Consider the following 16,863-nt stretch of genomic DNA (forward strand, 5'->3'; position numbering starts at 1 on the left):
CTTTGGAAAAGAGCTTGGCAGTTTCTTTAATAGTGAAACATCTATCTCTCTTATGATCTAGTTGTTCTACTCCTAGGTAGTTAACCTCTCAAGGAGAAAGGAAAGCATATGTCCATTCAAAAACTTGTACACAAATGTTCATAGTGGCTTGATTTATAGTAGTCAAAGACTGCAAACAAATCCAAATGTCCATCAACAGGTGAATGGATAAATTAACTGTGATACAGCCATGCAATGGACTACTACTCAGCATAAAAAGGAATTATTGATATAGTATTAATTAGTAATTATGCTAAGTGAAAGAAGCCAGACATGCCCTTGTCCCTAAAAAAGGGAGTACACAGGCCGGGTGCGGTGGCTCACGCCTGTAATCCCAGAACTTTGGGAGGCCGAGGCGGGTGGATCACGAGGTCAGGAGATCGAGACCATCCTGGCTAACACGGTGAAACCCCATCTCTACTAAAAATACAAAAATAATTAGCCGGGGAGGCTGAGGCAGGAGAATGGCGTGAACCCAGGAGGCGGAGCTTGCAGTGAGCAGAGATTGCGCCACTGCACTCCAGCCTGGGCAACAAGGCGAGACTCCATCTCAAAAAAAAACAAAAGGGAGTATACAGTGTGTGTTTCTGGTATAGAAAGCAAATCAATGGCTTCTCTGGGGAGGGAGTAAAGAAGGGTAGAGGCATGGAGAAGCGCAGGAAGGATAGATTTCTAAACACATAGGAAACCTTTGCGAGTCATGGATATGTTCATTATCTTGATTGTGGTAATGGTTCCACAGGTGAATATATGTCAAAACTTATCAAGCTGGACACATTAAGTATGTGCAATTTATTGTATGTAATTATACTTCAATAAAGCTGTTAAACTTTTTTAATAACAAGGCAATCTCAGGGACTTCTGCTTCTGGAAAGATGAAATAGATACACTTTTTTATATTCCTCTCACTAAGCACAACTAAATATCCTGGACATTATTCATAGAACAGACATAAGAAATAACTGAAAGATGAAGGGAACCAGTCAGACCAGCTAGGGACTTTGGGACCTGAGAAACAACAGGGTGGGTGGTGAGCTCCCTGGGTATTATTTTATCTATCTACCTATCTATCTAGCTATCTAACTATCTAGCTAGCTAGCTATTTATTGAGACAAAGTATCACTCTGTAGCCTGGGCTGGAGTGCAATGGCGCAATCCTGGCTCACTGCAGCCTCAAACTCCTGTGCTTGAGCAATCCTCCCACCTCAGCCTCCCAAGTAGCTGGGACTACAGGCACGCACCAACACACCTGGATAATTTTTTAAATTTTTATAGAGACAAGGTCTCACTATGTTGCTTAGGCTAGTTTCGAACTCCTGGGCTCAAGCAATCCTCCTCCTTTGGCCTCCCAAAGTGCTGGGATTACAGGCATGAGCCTGTGTCCAGCCCGATCTTGGGTCTCCTTTATGCCTCATATATCCTGGACTGGATTCTGGAAAAGCTGATAACCCAGAAACACCAACAAATGAAGACCAAAAAAGACCTCAAGAAAATCCTGCTCTCTCTAGCCAGAGAACCAGGAAAGGACCAGCCTAGCAAGACAAGCAGGCATCCCAATAGCTTTGCTGGGTTGGTGTCAGAGAAGGCCAAGGGAAGAGCTGGTGCCTTGTGGTATCAGTAGAGGCCCTCCTCCTCCCAAGTAGGATAATACCAGTAGAGGCCTAGTGGGGAGCCTGAACTCCCACCTCCACTCAGCAACAACAAGGTGTTCTTCCCCTGTTAAAGAGGATGTCAACAGAAGCCAAGTAGAGAAGATGGATTTCCACATCCATCTGACAGTAATAAGGGGAGCCTCGCCTCCCCTACTAGCATAGCTTGAAAGGAGACCTGCTAATATAGAAGATTTAAATAATATCTAGCGTCTCATAACATAACAGCCAAAATGTCCAAGATTCAGTCAAAGCCACTCATCTTATGAAGAACCAGGAAAATCTCAAATGAGGAAAGACACAGACACCAACAAGAAAATAACAAAAATGTTAGAATTATCTGACAAGGATCTTAAAGCAGCCATCATTAAAAGTGTTTCAACGAGCAATTATGAACACATAAAACACATTCAGCAAAGAAATAGAAAATATGAAGAACCAAATAGAAATTTGAAAACTGAAAAAAATTGTAACAAAAAATAAAAAAGCTCTCAATGGATTGGCTTAACAGCAGAAGGCAGAGGACAGAATAAAGAAGCAATGAACTTGAAGAGAGAACTATAGAAATCACCCAAGCTGAGCAACAGAGAGAAGAATTTTAAAAATAAATGAACACAGCCTCAGGGACTTATGGGACTATAACAAAAGATCTAACATTTGTGTTGTTGAAGTCCGAGAAGGAGAGGGGAAAGAGGGTTGAACTGAAGAAGTATTCAAAGAAATAATGGCTGAAAAATTCCCAAATTTGGCAAAAAAAAAAAAAAAAAAACCCCATAAACCCACAGGTTGAAGAAGCTGAGTAAACTCAAACAGAATAAACCCAAAAAATCTATGGCAAAACACATCAAAATCACGTTTCTGAAACTAAAAACAAAGAAAAAACTTGAAAACAATGAGAGAGAAATGACACCTTACTTATAAGGGAAAAAAGCATTTAAATGACAGCAGATTTCTCATCACTAACCATCAGAAAGAAGTGGCAAAACCTTTTTCAACTGCTAAAATAAAAGGACTATCAACTCAGAATTTTATATCCAGCAAAAATATCCTCCAGGAATGATGGCAAAATCAAGACATTCTCCACTGAAGGAAAACTAAGAAGTTGTTACCATCAGATTTACTCTAAAAGAATGGCTAAAGAAAGTACTACATCAGAAAGTAAATGCTAAAAGAAGGAATCTTGGAACTTCAGTAAGTAAGAAAAACAACGAAGGAGTAAAAATATGAGTAAATACAATAAACGCTTCTCTTACGTTTTCTAAATTATGTTTGATGGTTGAAGTAAAAATTATAACACTGGTATGGTTTTCAATGTATGTAAAGGAAATGCTTAAGACAACTATATTATAAAGGGAGGAGGGTAAAAGGATTTAAATAATGAGTGTTGGGTGGTAATAGAATAGTTTTGTATCTTGATTGTAGAAGTGGTTACACAAATCTAGACATGTGATAAAATGGCATAAAGCTACATATACACATTTTACCAATGTCAGTTTTTTGGTTTTGATATTGTAAGATGTATTAATCTTGGAGGAAATTGGATGAAGAAGATAGGGGATCTCTATTATATTTGCAACTGCAAATTGCAAATACAGTCACAATTGCAATTATTAATTATTTCAAGATAAAAGTTGATTTAATAAAGAAGAAATTATATGAATCCCCTCCCCACTCAAAAAGCAAACCCTGATAAGTGAAAGCAAAATGAAACAAATAAATCCAACTGTGTATTGAGTTAGTGGCACAATCACACAGAGGAACTATCTCAGTGACCTTAAAGGAGAGTAATTTGGCTGCACATGTTTAATGGAATATACCCTAAGGACAAAAAGACTTGCAAAAAAAAGAAAATATCTTAAACCTTTTTCAGTAATCTTATTGTTAATAGTCATATTGTTTGTTCTGATACTGTGTGTGAGTGTCTGTGTGTGTGTGTGTGTGTGTGTGTGTGTGTGTGTGTGTAAAATAAAGCAAATAAGTAATTACATCAATATCATTTCTAGGATTTTTTGGTGTAGGAGAAAGGAGATACAGAATTAAGATACTTAAGTAAAAACTGTTTAAATCTAAATTGAATGGGATGTATCAACATAATTTCATAATGTATTTTCTCTTAAAAAGAAAAAGAAAAAAACAAATGAATACTATTTCTTAGTTCTAGTCACTGATAAGGCCTAGAAACAATGACCAAGCCAGGAGCAATGAACAGCACTGCGGTCTCTAAGTAACTTTTCCTACAAACAGGAGCCAGGATTTCTTCAAGAAATAGCTGATTTCAGTCCTGGAGAGGAGGAAGTGTACAGGATGAGCTTGAAATATTTCATCCTAATATTAGGATGGCAAGAAGGCCATCAGAAACTACTGGGGTTGTTTCAAAACACCAGCACTGGGCCGGGCACGGTGGCTTACGCCTGTAATCCCAGAACTTTGGGAGGCCGAGGCAGGCGGATCATGAGGTCAAGAGATCAAGACAATCCTGGCCAACATGGTGAAACCCCATCTCTGCTAAAAATACAAAAATTAGCTGGGTGTGGTGGCATGTGCCTGTAGTCCCAGCTACTCGGGAGGCTGAGGCAGGAGAATCGCTTGAACCCGGGAGGCAGAGGTTGCAGTGAGCCGAGATCATGCCACTGCACTCCAGCCTGGCTACTGAGTGAGACTCCATCTCAAAAAAAAAAAAAAAAAAAAACACATCAGCACTGGCCAGAATCCTGAATGGCCAGAGATGAGGCAAGATAAGCCTCATAAGAATAATAGCTACACTGGATTAAAATACATCAAATATGTTTAAATCTGTGAGTTCCTGGTGGTATTCAAAAAAATAATTATTATTATATTGATCGTCTTTGGAGAATGCTAGGGAACCAACTCATTATTTTGAAAACTGGTAAATAGAGGGGAAAAAAGTCATTTATCCTGCCTTTCATATGTGAACTGTATCTCACAATAACTAAAATTTTAATGAGGGAATGTTTTTCTTTATAGAAGTTGTAGAGCTAACAAATGAAGATATAATGATAGTCCTGGATTGAATATTAACTTTTTGCAACCCTTAATGGGATAAAGAATCTAGGCAATTATCATGAAGGGCTGCTAACATCAGTAAAAGAGGTAACCAGACTGTATGAGCCTCTTGATGAAAGTACACACTACCACTCAGGAGTTGTTCTTACCAAAAAAAAATGGAACCTGAATAAATCTCTAGACCTAACTACCAATTCACAGTAATAACACCATGGGAACGCAACCAAATCCTTCTGGGAAACCCTACAGCGTAAGCAACCCAGTGTCTTCAACAAGTAACATGCAAGGAGGAAAGAGAGAGAGGCAGAGACAGAGAGAAACCCAGAGATGTTAAAAGACACATTAACCAGTTGCAATGTAGGGTTCCCATTTGGATCCTGATTTAAACTACAGGGGGAAAAATGAATGTTGGCCAAATATTTGATGATATTAAAGTCTTATTGCTAATTATTTGAGCTCTGATAGTGATTGTGAGTGTGTTTGTTTGTTTAAGTTCTTTACCATTTAGAGATACATAACAAAATATTTACAGATGAAATCACGTGCTTTTGTGGATTTGCTTCAAAATAAAATGAGGTCAGGGAGAAAAGTAAGGAGTGCGTATAGATGAAACACGATTGACCATGAGTTGAACATTGTTGAAGCAGGGCTACATGGGGATGTGTTTTACTATTGTCTTCAGTTTTATATGAAGGTGAAATTTTTCCAAATGAAACATTTTTAAAAACATATCCAGGCAGAGCCAGAAAAATCACATTCCTGTAGCTGTCTCCCTAATAAAAAGGTCTTTATTCTGTTCTTTGCAGCCTAGAAGACTAGTGTCACTGTAGCTGTAGTAATAACAGTAATATCAATAATAATAGGCCAGGTGCAGTGGCTCACGCCTGTAATCCCAGCACTATGGGAGGCCCAGGCAGGCAGATCATGAGATCAGGAGTTCGAGACAGCCTGACCAACATGGTGAAACCCCGTCTCTACTAAAAATACAAAAACTAGCTGGGTGTGGTGGCGCACGCCTGTAATCCCAGCGACTCAGGAGGCTGAAGCATGAGAATCACTTGAACCCGGGAGGCGGTGAGTCGAGATCGCACCACTGCACTCCAGCCTGGGCAACACAGCAAGAGTCCATCTCAAAAAAAAAAAAATAACAATAATAATAATAATACCCAGCATTTTGGAAGCACATACTTGCTATGTGCTAAACTCATTTAAGAGTTTTTATAAATTTTCTCATTTAATTCAGACGAAATCTTATGTGGTAAGTACTATTATTATTCACATTTTACAGATGAGGAACCTGAGGGACAGAAGTTTGGTGACAAAGGTAAGCCTCACACCCAGATCTAATGGCAGATTTCCGGCTTGTAACCAACACCCAAAGGTAAAAGATGAAGATTGCTGTCATGTCCTCAGTCTTGCCTTCTTTGGGATAAACACCTTTAGCTCTTTCACTCCCCACCCCACCCCACCCCTGCCACATGGCTTCAATGCCCCACACCATCCTTGTCACATTCCTTGAAACACCTGCCAGGAGCCATAAAAGTAGCTGAGCTTCTTTAAGGTATCTCAGAGGCCCATGTGCAGCTTGCCCCACCCCGATCCTACCCAGGCTGCCTGGTTTCCCAGACAAGCTGCGGTCCTCCTCCCTCCAGGCTGGGAGCCTGCACATGCGCATGTCCCAGGAGTGGCGCAGCTCACCTGGGCCTCGGTGCCTCTTCTCCATCCAGATGTAGCAGTTGTTCTGGGCCACCCCAGTCTGTGAGTCCAGGAAGGGAAGACGCACGCTGCGCTCTGCACACAGCCGTGAGTTGTAACTCCGGCAGTGCTCAATGGCTTCCTTGTAGAACTGGTCCCCGAGCCTGCCAGAGTCAGAGAGTGAAGGGGTGAGGCCAGGGAAGACTGAAACACACCCAGAGGGAAACACACCCAGAGGGAAACACACCTCCCTGGAAAGACTGAAGACCTCCCAGTTATGAAGACCAAGGCAATGAGCACCAAGAGCCTTGCCAATGAGCAGAATGCAACTCAATGTCAGGTCTTGACTAGATTTTATTTTCTATCCCAAATCCACCAGGCAACTTAGAAACTCCTTTAACAAAGAGCATGGGCTTCCAAGGATGAATCACCAGTAAGAGAGAGCTGTCCATGTTCTAGGAAGCATGAGGTCCCACTCCAGAAGGGAAGTAGCTCTGGAACAACCTTCTGCATGGAATCTAGAGGACATCACACTTCTAGAACCTCCTCACTCATATTAGCTACATTTTATTCTCAGAGGTCACCAGCAAAGGCACTCTAGGTGAACCCAAATCACCAGCAAAGATACTCAGTTTTCCATTACAACAGAAGAGAAACACTCCATATAAACAAAAACTAGGACAGAAAAAACATTCTATAAAAGTAGGGAAATTGCAGGAAGAAGGGGGTGTAGAGGAACAGGCACCAATCTTTTAAAACCATATTACTTAAAGAAAAATAACTTTCCGATAGAAAACAAACAGAATTCAACAATTTTAAATTCAAAATAATTCAACTCATGGAGTTTAAAAAACAAATAGAAAGACCTTTCTGGTTTGCTAGACTGAGAATCTGATTAAGCACAGTATATTTTACGTTCCTGACTCTTTGGTATTTTTGGACACGTGGTGATGCTACTAATTTTAAGGTAGTGTCCTTTTCAAAGACCAAAAATGGAGCATTGATATAATTGATCAAATGCAAAGCACTAAAATAATCAATGAGATCAAATACCTACCAAATAAAACATAGGCACAGGTTAATAAATGCCTCAAAGAAATACAAATGTAATAACATAACTTATGCCAGGTAAATTCAAGCCTCTTACTGGGGTCGGGGGGCAGTGGACGCAAAGGAGTGGAGTGTGGGAAGAAGAAGTAGGAAGGGAAGGAGCCACAGAGTTCACAGGGGCAAAAGGGAGAATCAAGTGTTTATTCTGAAGCAACATTATGATATCTTTTTGTTTTGGTTCTATGTAGATTTCAGAAAGCCAAAATGAGAGGGGAAGTCTCTAAAAATATCATTTCTTAACCAAAGTATTTAGAGGAATAAAAAAAGCAAAATTGGGGTGTTGGGTTTTTTGGGTTTTTTTTTTTTTTTTTGAGATGGAGTCTCACTCCGTCGCCCAGGCTGGAGTGCAACGGTGCGATCTCAGCTCACTGCAACCTCCACCTCCTGGGTTCAAACGATTCTCCTGCCTCAGCCTCCTGAGTAGCTGGGATTATAGGTACCTGCCACCATGCCCGGCTAATTTTTTATATTTTTAGTAGAGACAGAGTTTCACTATATTGGTCAGGCTGGTCTCAAACTCCTGACCTCAGGCGATCCACCCGCCTCAGCCTCCCAAAGTGCTGGGATTACAGGCGTGAGCCACCATGCCTGGCCTCAATTTCTTAATTGTGGTAAAATACACATAACATAAAATTTCCCATCTTAAGTGTACAGTTTAAGTGTACAGTTCAGTGGCATTAAGCACATGCATACTGTTGTACGACCACCACTACTATCCATTCCCAGAACTCTTTTCATCTTGCAAAACTGAAACACTATACCCATTAAACAATAACTCCCCGTTCCGCCTCTGCCCCCATCTCCAGCAACTACCAATCTGCTTTCTATCTCTATGATTCTGACTACTCCAAGTACTTCATAAAAGTGGAGTCATACAGTATTTGTCTTTTTGTGACTGGCTTATTTGACTTAGCATAATATCCTCAGGGTTAACCTATATTATAGCATATGTCAGAATTTCCTTCCTTTTTAAGTCAGAATAATATTTTAAGTCAGAATAATATTTTTTAAGTCAGAATAATATTCCATTGTATGCATATACCACATTTTGCTTATCCATTCATCTGTCAGTGGATATCTGGGTTGCTTCCACATTTTAGCTATTCTGAATAATGCTGCTATGAACATGAGTATACAAATATCTTTTCAAAACCCTGCTTTCAGGCTGGGCGCAGTGGCTCATGCCTGTAATCCCAGCACTTTGGGAGGCTGAGGTGGGTGGATCGCCTGAGGTCAGGAGTTCGAGACCAGCCTGGCCAACATGGTGACACCCCGTCTCTACTAAAAATACAAAAATTAGCTGGGCCTGGTGGCAGACGCCTGTAATCCCAGCTACTCAAGAGTCGCTTGAACTCAGAAGGTTGTGGTGAGTTGGGATTGTGCCACTGCACTCCAGCCTGGGCGACAGGGTGAGACTCTGTCTAAAAAAAAAAAAAAAAAAAAAAAAAAACCTGCTTTCAGTTCTTTTAGGTATATACTCAGGAGTAGAATTGCTGAGTCATATGGTAGCTCTAGTTTTCATTTTTTGAGGAACCACCATACTGTTTTTCATGGCAGCTGTACCATTTTCCATTTCTACCAACAGTGTACAAGGGTTCCAACTACTCCACATTCTCATCACCACTTGTTAGAAAGCAAAGTTTTAAATGCACTTTTCTATACTCTTTTTAAAAAGTCAACGGGTCAGGTTCTAACAAAGAGCTTAAAGCAAATATCTTACTGTGGGAAAACACAACCCTGGAAGCTTCTGAGGCATCATTTGGAAATTACTTGTTGACAAGCATCCAAAAAAAAACAAACAACAAAACAAAAACCCTTTGCTCCTTTTTCACCTCTGAACATCTTCACATTCATAAGGGAGGCATAATACGCTCAGAAAGTGTCCTGGCAGTTGCAAAACCAAACTGTAATCAAATTGTAATAGTCACGCAGCTGGAAATGAATTGGGGAGGGGAGATGAAAGCCCATTACAATGCTATAAAACTGAATGGCACATAAGCTGATGTAATCAAAGCTGGTAACAAGGATCATGAGATTGATCAAAAATAAAGAACCACTTTTTACAAAGTGTTTGTGTCACACCAGCTTAAATGCTTCCTTCTGCTATGGCGATGTAGCTCAGTGGAACAGAACTTTCACAGGCAGCTTGGCCCAGACAAGATGACCCAGGCTGTTCAGGGTATCCTGGATGCTCCAGCCCCCACCCATGAAACAGCAAGCAGCCATACCACATCGATAGAGAACTGACAAGAACATTTGACAGAGAGGTGTCCAACGTGAGAGCAGCAATCTGTTTTCCCAGGACCTTCTGACAGACTGCCAAAAAAAAAAGATGTTAATTATCCCAACCTCAGAAATTCTGCTGAAAAGAGAACCCATAAAATCAGGCCCCCCAAAAAAACAAAATGAAAAATTGTATAGCAAAACTCATCTACTGGAGATGATCACTTTCAAAATAAATTTCTGGAAACCAATACAAAAGAAATCTACACAGTAGGATTCCAAATTGGACTTGTCCTAATATGCTAGTAACTCACTTCCAACAGCGTCAATCCAGACAAGAGGAACAAGAAACTGAACTTGCTAAAAATGCAAAGTGAGGTTGGCCAACACTGGTGCTCCACACCAACTGGATCGAGAATGTCAAACAAAGTGGCACACTGGGCGAAAATTAATTTCATCTTAAATACTTTCTACTTTCATAACATGCAATGTTATTAGTTACAAGCATGCTGGGGGAAAATGTATATTTCTAAATATAATCTTTGTGTGAATGATACCTGTCTTATGTAAACAGAAAAGACTTTCTGTGGACTGGAACAACTGTATTAAAGATCGAAGCTGCAAAAACATGACATTCAACAGCCCCTCTACCATCATCTCCAGGGAAGTCCTTTTAAACAGACCAGGTGTTGGCAGAGATTCGGAACCAAAATTTAAAGCCTTTTTCAAGATATAAGAGGAGAAAAGAGATTTCATCCTCCCTGATAAATTCAAGAAGCACTTCTCCAAAAGTTAATTAGCCAAAATCGTCACAGGGCTTGCTATGCTCTCTAGAAGAAAATCAATGACTAGTTCTCCCTAACCCGTAGAAAGCAATTTAAACAGCAGAGGACAAATGTCCTTTCCAACATGGTATTTCTGCCAAAAAAAAAAAAAAAAATCCCACAATGATGGGATCCCAGGAGTGACATTTACATTAAAGTTGAAGGCGTCAGATGGAGCAGGGAAAGGCTGGCAGCAAATGACTCATCTGTGGAGTGGTGACCAGTGTACCCTGGGTTGGATCACACATGGGACAGTCCCAGCCATCACCTGCATGCACCAAACTGAGGGGGCTGGATCCCCAAGGGATGATTGATGTCTTAGGCTAGAGGAAGCTGGCACAAGGCAGGGTAGAATGATGTTCTTATCAACAACTGACTTCAGGCTACTCAAGGCTGCAATCAGAAATAGGAAAGGCAAGGGAAACAAATTGCTGGGCTCCCCAGGCTCCCCAGACAGCATTCTGGTTGCAGCAGTGCTGGCTGCCTAGTTCTAGGGGGCTTTGTGAGTGATGGAGGTACTTCTGTGATCCCATCTGAATTGAGAAGCCAGCCCAGCTCTGAGAGCTGAGTGTTTCTACATGAGATTTCCAGCAACCCTCCTTGAGCCTATCTGTGGAGATGGACTCCAGGGGGCCAAAGAAGACTCAGAATGGGAAAGATGAGACTTCTCCAAAGTGACTGCCAACCAGGCTCCAAATGTGATTTTTCAGAGCCCATCAATCACAACCCCTCTAAGACCCTCTGCTCCTCTTCCTCCAACCTCCTGCTCTCAAGACCACACCTGCTTGCTCCGATTTCTCAGATCACTCTCAGGTCCAGCCAGACACCTGGGCTCCTCCCTTTCACTGTCTCTCTGGTTCTGTGCTCTGACCTGAGGACAGGTGTCCTGCCATACCAGAAATGTGAGTCCAATAGCAAGTTTCTCATCTTCTGCCAGAAGCCTGCTCCCGCCCACTCAAGTCTCAATCCTCCTAGGGGCGGGGGTGGGGGTGGGGGCCGAGGCTATGCTGCCCTCCCTCTCCCTAGCAACTTGGCCTTGACTCTCCCCTTGCCTTCAAACCATCTGGAACTGAGTTATTTCATTTATCAGGAAGTCGTCCTTTCTCTCCACTCCCCCTGTGTGGCCCCAAGTCCCCTTTGCTGTGTAAACAGGACCTTGGCCCATCACTACTATCTGTGCACAGAAGCAGAGATAAGCAGAGCTGAAGAGAAGCCCTGGCCTGTGGCAGGATTGTGGGGGCTCTCCTTCCCCCAGAGGCGCCTCTTCCTCACTGTGGGCACCAAGTTTTCCTGCTGTCTCACTCAGCTGTTCACACCGCCAGAGCCGCCCACAAACACACACGAAAGCTCATCTACACCAATATGCTAACTTCCTGCTATTTGCATTTAAACATGTTTAACTCAAACTGTTCATGGAAAGCTCCGTCTCCCATTTAGTCTTTTAGAATAACTGGCACACAGGGGGCAATATCTGGCAAGGTGCGGGAAAGTTTTTATTTTCCTTGAAGTGGTCCTGTTCCTAATGCATCTCTTGAAAGAAGACCAAGTTTAGTGTTTGTTACAGACTGAATTGTGTCGTTCCTCCTCACAGAAAAAATCCACATGTTGAAGGCCTAACCCTCAATGTGATGGTGTTTGGAGATGGAGCATTTGGGAGGTGATATCATTTGATATTTACCCCTGCCCAAATCTCATGTTGAATTGTAATCCCCAACTCTGGGGGTGGGGCCTAGTGGGAGGTGTTTAGATCATGTGGGCACATCCCTCATGGCTTGGTGCTGTCTTCGTGATAGCAAGTGAGTTCTTGCAAGATCTGGTCATTTAAAAGTGTATGGTGCCTCCCTGCTGACTCTCTCTCTCTTGCTCCTGTTTTTATCATGTGACATGCCTCCTCCCCCTTTGCCTTCTGCCATGATTGTAAGTTTCCTGAGGGCTCCCCAGAAGCCAAGCAGATGCCAGCACTGTGCTTCCTGTACAGCCTGCAGAACGATGAGCCAATTAAACCTGTTCTTTATAAATTACCAAATCTCAGGTATTTCTTTATAGCAATACAAGAATGGCCTAATCCAGGAGGTAATCAGGTCAGGAGGATGGAGCCCTCATGATGGGATTAGGGCCCATATAAGGCAGAGACATGAGCAAGCTCTCTCACTCTCTCAATCTCTGCCATGAGAGGACACAAAAAGGCAGCTGTATGTGAGCTATAAGGAGGACTCTTACCTGGAATCTGACCCTGCTAGCACCCTCATCTTGAACTTCCCAGCCTCCAGAACTGTGACAGACAATTATTTAAGCCAGGGGTCCCAAACCCCTGGGCCACAGAGCAGTACCAGTCCATGCCTGTTAGGAACTGGGTGGCACAGCAGGAGGTGAGCTGTGGGGTACAAGTGAGCATTGCTGCCTGAGCTCTGCCTCCTGTCAGATCAATGGCAGCACTAGAGTCTCATAGAAGCGCAAACCCTACTGTGAACTGCACATATGAGGGATCTAGGTTGCCCACTCCTTATGAGAATCTAATGCTTGATGATCTGTCACTGTCTCCCATCAACCCCAGATGAGACTGTCTAGTTGCAGGAAAACAAGCTCAGAGCTCCCACTGATTCTACATTATAGTGAGTTGTAAAATTATTTCATTACATATTACAATGTAATAATAACAGAAATAAGGTGCACAATAAATGTAATGCACTTGAATCATCCCAAAACCATCCCCTCCCCGACCCCAGTCGGTGGAAAAATGATCTTCCATGAAACCAGTCCCTGGTGCCAGAAAGGTTGGGGACTTCCGGTTTAAGCTACCCAGTCTATGCCATTTTAATACAGCAGCTGGACATGACTGAGGAAGTGTTTCTGGATGTTTCCCAAAAAAGGGCTAAGGAGGACAGGTGAGAGAGATTCCAATCCCCTTTCCTTCCACATTTTTTCTTCTTCTAACAAAGACAACAATAATAACACTATAATATCAATTTCAACTCAATTCAATGTTTAGTATTTGTCTTCTCTACTAGACTATAAACTCCATGAGGGCAGAGGCCACATCTGCAGAGCCACTGCACACAGACACTCAGGCTGAACAACTCCAGCAAGTACCATTCACATCAGCGTCAATATGAAGGCCACCCCCTGGAGTGGTGGAGCCCAGCACTCCTGCATACCTGCCTGGCCTTCTTGCTGATTTACCCGCAGTGTTCAGCACAGAGCCTGGCACATAACAGGTGCCCAGTAAGTCTCCATTGAAAAGCATTTGACAACTCACATTCCACTCACCTAGGGCAGGCATTTAAATTACAGCAGGAAGGCTAATGTGGCATGCTTGTGCACAGTCTGCAGAGTCTGTGACTGGCAATTTAAACTGGATGGCTGTCCACTTGCAGCTTCAGAAAAACATTGAGAGAATGTCTGCATTCACTCTCCTGTAGTCCTCATCACCCAGCACCTGGGACATTGCAGCACTGGGTGGCCTAACTGCAAGCGCTATAGCCCTACTCTTACCCATCCTGACAAAAGGAATTCTCCCTGAAACTCAGTGTTTAGTCTTTCAAACTCCTCAGTGTAGAACCCAAGATGGCTCCCAATGGTGCCCAGGTTCCTCTGCTGGGCTGGGGATGCACCCGGAAAAACTATGTATTGGGGTAAAGTGGAAAATCAAGACTTGGAATTGGTCATGTCTGAGTCCAGCTCCACCTCTTAATAGCTACACAACCCTCAGCAAGTTACTTACCCTCCCTGGGCCTAAATTCTACTACTCACAATATGGGTAATATAATCTCTACTTCAGACCTGAGAAAATTTAATAAGCTAGAACCTCTGGCACACAGACATAAAAGTCTGCAATCAATAGCCATTCCTTTCTCCTTCCCCAAAGTGCAGTACTTGCTGCCACTTTGTGGCATGACCCTCTGCCTGAGCAGGCTGATACCCACCATGTGATGCAACACTCACTATTGCGGTGTCCTTGAGGCTGTCGGGGACCCACTCAAACCTCTGTCCCAGGACAGAAGGCCTCTGGGTCACCAAGGCTGAGCCTCAGGCATCCAGGAGAGCAGGGCAGCTGATGCATGGTGACCCCAGCAATCCACCCAAGGACTGCCCTAAGCACAGAGACCACATCTGGCTTGTTTACTGCTCTCTCCCAAAGCCTAGTACATGCTGGGTCATGCCTGCCACATTGGGTAAATGATGAGTGAATGAGTGAATGAATGAATCCTCCTCTGACCCCCCTGCATATATGAAACAGACAGCCCTACCCCTGAATCTCAACAAAACACTTTACTTATATCCTTCCTCCCACCTGGAATTTTTGTATTCTGTCCTTGTCCTGGCTGATCTTAGCCTAGTCAAGAGCTGGCTGAAAACTTGCTTCTTCCAGGAAGGTTCACAGGTTATCTCTACCAGTAGGGTTTGCTCTCTGGCTTCTCTGAGCTACCTTATCTGTCTTACTTTATTTTTGATGGTCTTTGCCACCTTCCTTATCTCTGCTCACTTAATTAGATTGGAAGTATCTTAAAGACAGGAACTGAGAGCTATGTGCTTGCATGCTACCCAACCATGCACAGTACTGGGAATGTAGAAGCATGTGATAGATACATTGCTTGACTGAACTATCATGTCATCCTCAGCAAACTAATGAAAGCTTCACAGTTGAGAGGTGCTTGGAACGTTCTAACTTTCTCCATGGGAACATGAGGTGAGCCTGAAGTTATCTGGCTACTTCTCCAGAGCCCAGGATTAGGCATCTGAAAATAGATATCCTCCAAGTTCAAATCCTATTGAGTTTTTTCCCATATCCTTAAAAAAAGGTCACTTCAGCTCCTGAGATTTTCATTTCTCCATGTGCAAATTCATGCTACCCTGCAAGGTGCCACAGAACTGACATTCTCCTTCTCTGAACTTTACAAGAAGCTCACTGATTCTCAATGCTGCTGACATCAGACCTATGCCAGGAAAACCAGCTCCTTCTCTGCATGGGTAGAAATGCCCTTCTTGTGCTTAGTGAGAATGCCATCACCACATGCTCCAAAAGAATGCTCTCAAACTCAGGATTGTGAAAGAATCGCTAAGGGGTGGGAAGCTGTGCAATTCTGATTCTAGAGGCTTGGGATGTGATCCAGACATCAGCTCCCCAGTGATCCTGAGAAATTTGAGACTAGCTGATCTAAAGATAGCTCCCCAACCTCTAAAACAAGGGCATGAATGAGAGGGGACTTGTGTTGCTCCTCAGCCACCATGTTTGAATGGCAGAGCTGGACGGCCCAGTTAGCAGACTTTGTTTCATTCAGCTGGTTTTGTTTCTGTGGGAAAACTTCTTTCAGGCAGCTGGCATGGATTACCCTGGCAGCACTAACCTGCAGCAGACTAATCCCACAAAAGTCCTCATCCCTAACAAAATTGCCAAAAGCCCTGGTCAAGGCAAATGTATGAAGATCTGACATCCTTAGTCATTCTGTGGGTGGCTCTGACCTTCAAAACATCTCAGGAAGGGCACATTGGGGACAAAGGTATCCCTTGGGAAAGTTATGTCCGACAAACAGCTTGAACCCTAAAACATCCATCATGACTTCGATGTGGCTCAGTCTGATGTTCAGGCCCAGTAGACCCAATAAATCCCTTTTCCAGCATCTACCCTGGTGAAGACTTTTCAGGGACTTATTATGCAAAGCTGCCTAAGCAAGACAGAATTTATATTGAACCTGGCCATGATTTCTGAGCCGCCACTGGGTGTTCTGATGACATACACATCTCGAGGTTGAAGTCAAGGAGCTGCCAAGGACAAGAGACTGGTGGCAGGATAAAAGCAGTGTGATTCCTTCCAGTAAATAATGGTGGGGTGGCGGGGGAGGTGGGAAGGGGACGCTCCGGGGAGGAAGAGGACCGTAGCTTTTCTTGTACCCAAGGTTTGCCTTTCAAATGGCATCCAGACGTGACCAAATAAATCTCTCCTCTGGAGGCTAAAGAATGTGTAGAATGCAACAAAAGTGAGGTGGTGGAGAAGCCTGCTTTATCTAGGGTGAATCATACCTAGAAAGAAAACATGCATCCGTCACAGAAATTTCATTGATTGAGAAAATATTTTTAGTTTCCTGGTCCACAGACTGAGTCCTTCCTGAAACTCTCACTATGAGCTGGGCACTCGGATGTTGCCTCCTGAGTGTGATCGCCTATAGAAGCAGACTATTGATTAGAGAAAATTCTTAGACAAACAGATCCCCAGCCCTCATCTTTGCCACTGGAATGCAAAGGGTGCTGCCCTCCCCAGTAAAGGGAATATCGGTCTGGTATTTAACACGGCCACAAAGAAC

General features: G+C 43.0%; 1 protein-coding gene across 4 annotated transcripts in view, besides 1 other annotated feature; it reads right to left on the reverse strand.

Annotated features, from left to right (window-relative positions):
* DPF3 (double PHD fingers 3) overlaps positions 1-16,863 on the reverse strand; it is a 285,068-nt gene that overhangs the window by 156,289 nt on the left and 111,916 nt on the right. For all 4 annotated transcript variants that reach the window (NM_001280542.3, NM_012074.5, NM_001280543.2 and 1 more), the window contains one exon: positions 6,411-6,571. In NM_001280542.3, the coding sequence (NP_001267471.1) occupies positions 6,411-6,571 (161 nt within the window). The remainder of the gene's footprint in view (positions 1-6,410; positions 6,572-16,863) is intronic.
* Positions 11,781-11,920: an enhancer, noted in NCBI's record as "active region_8688". NCBI's record gives its function as "activates an Ori minimal core promoter by ATAC-STARR-seq in GM12878 lymphoblastoid cells {active_cell/tissue: GM12878}" and the evidence as "EXISTENCE:reporter gene assay evidence [ECO:0000049][PMID:35858748]".

Source organism: Homo sapiens, chromosome 14 (genome assembly GCF_000001405.40).
Source record: "Homo sapiens chromosome 14, GRCh38.p14 Primary Assembly".
In the NCBI taxonomy this organism is placed as follows: domain Eukaryota; kingdom Metazoa; phylum Chordata; class Mammalia; order Primates; family Hominidae; genus Homo; species Homo sapiens.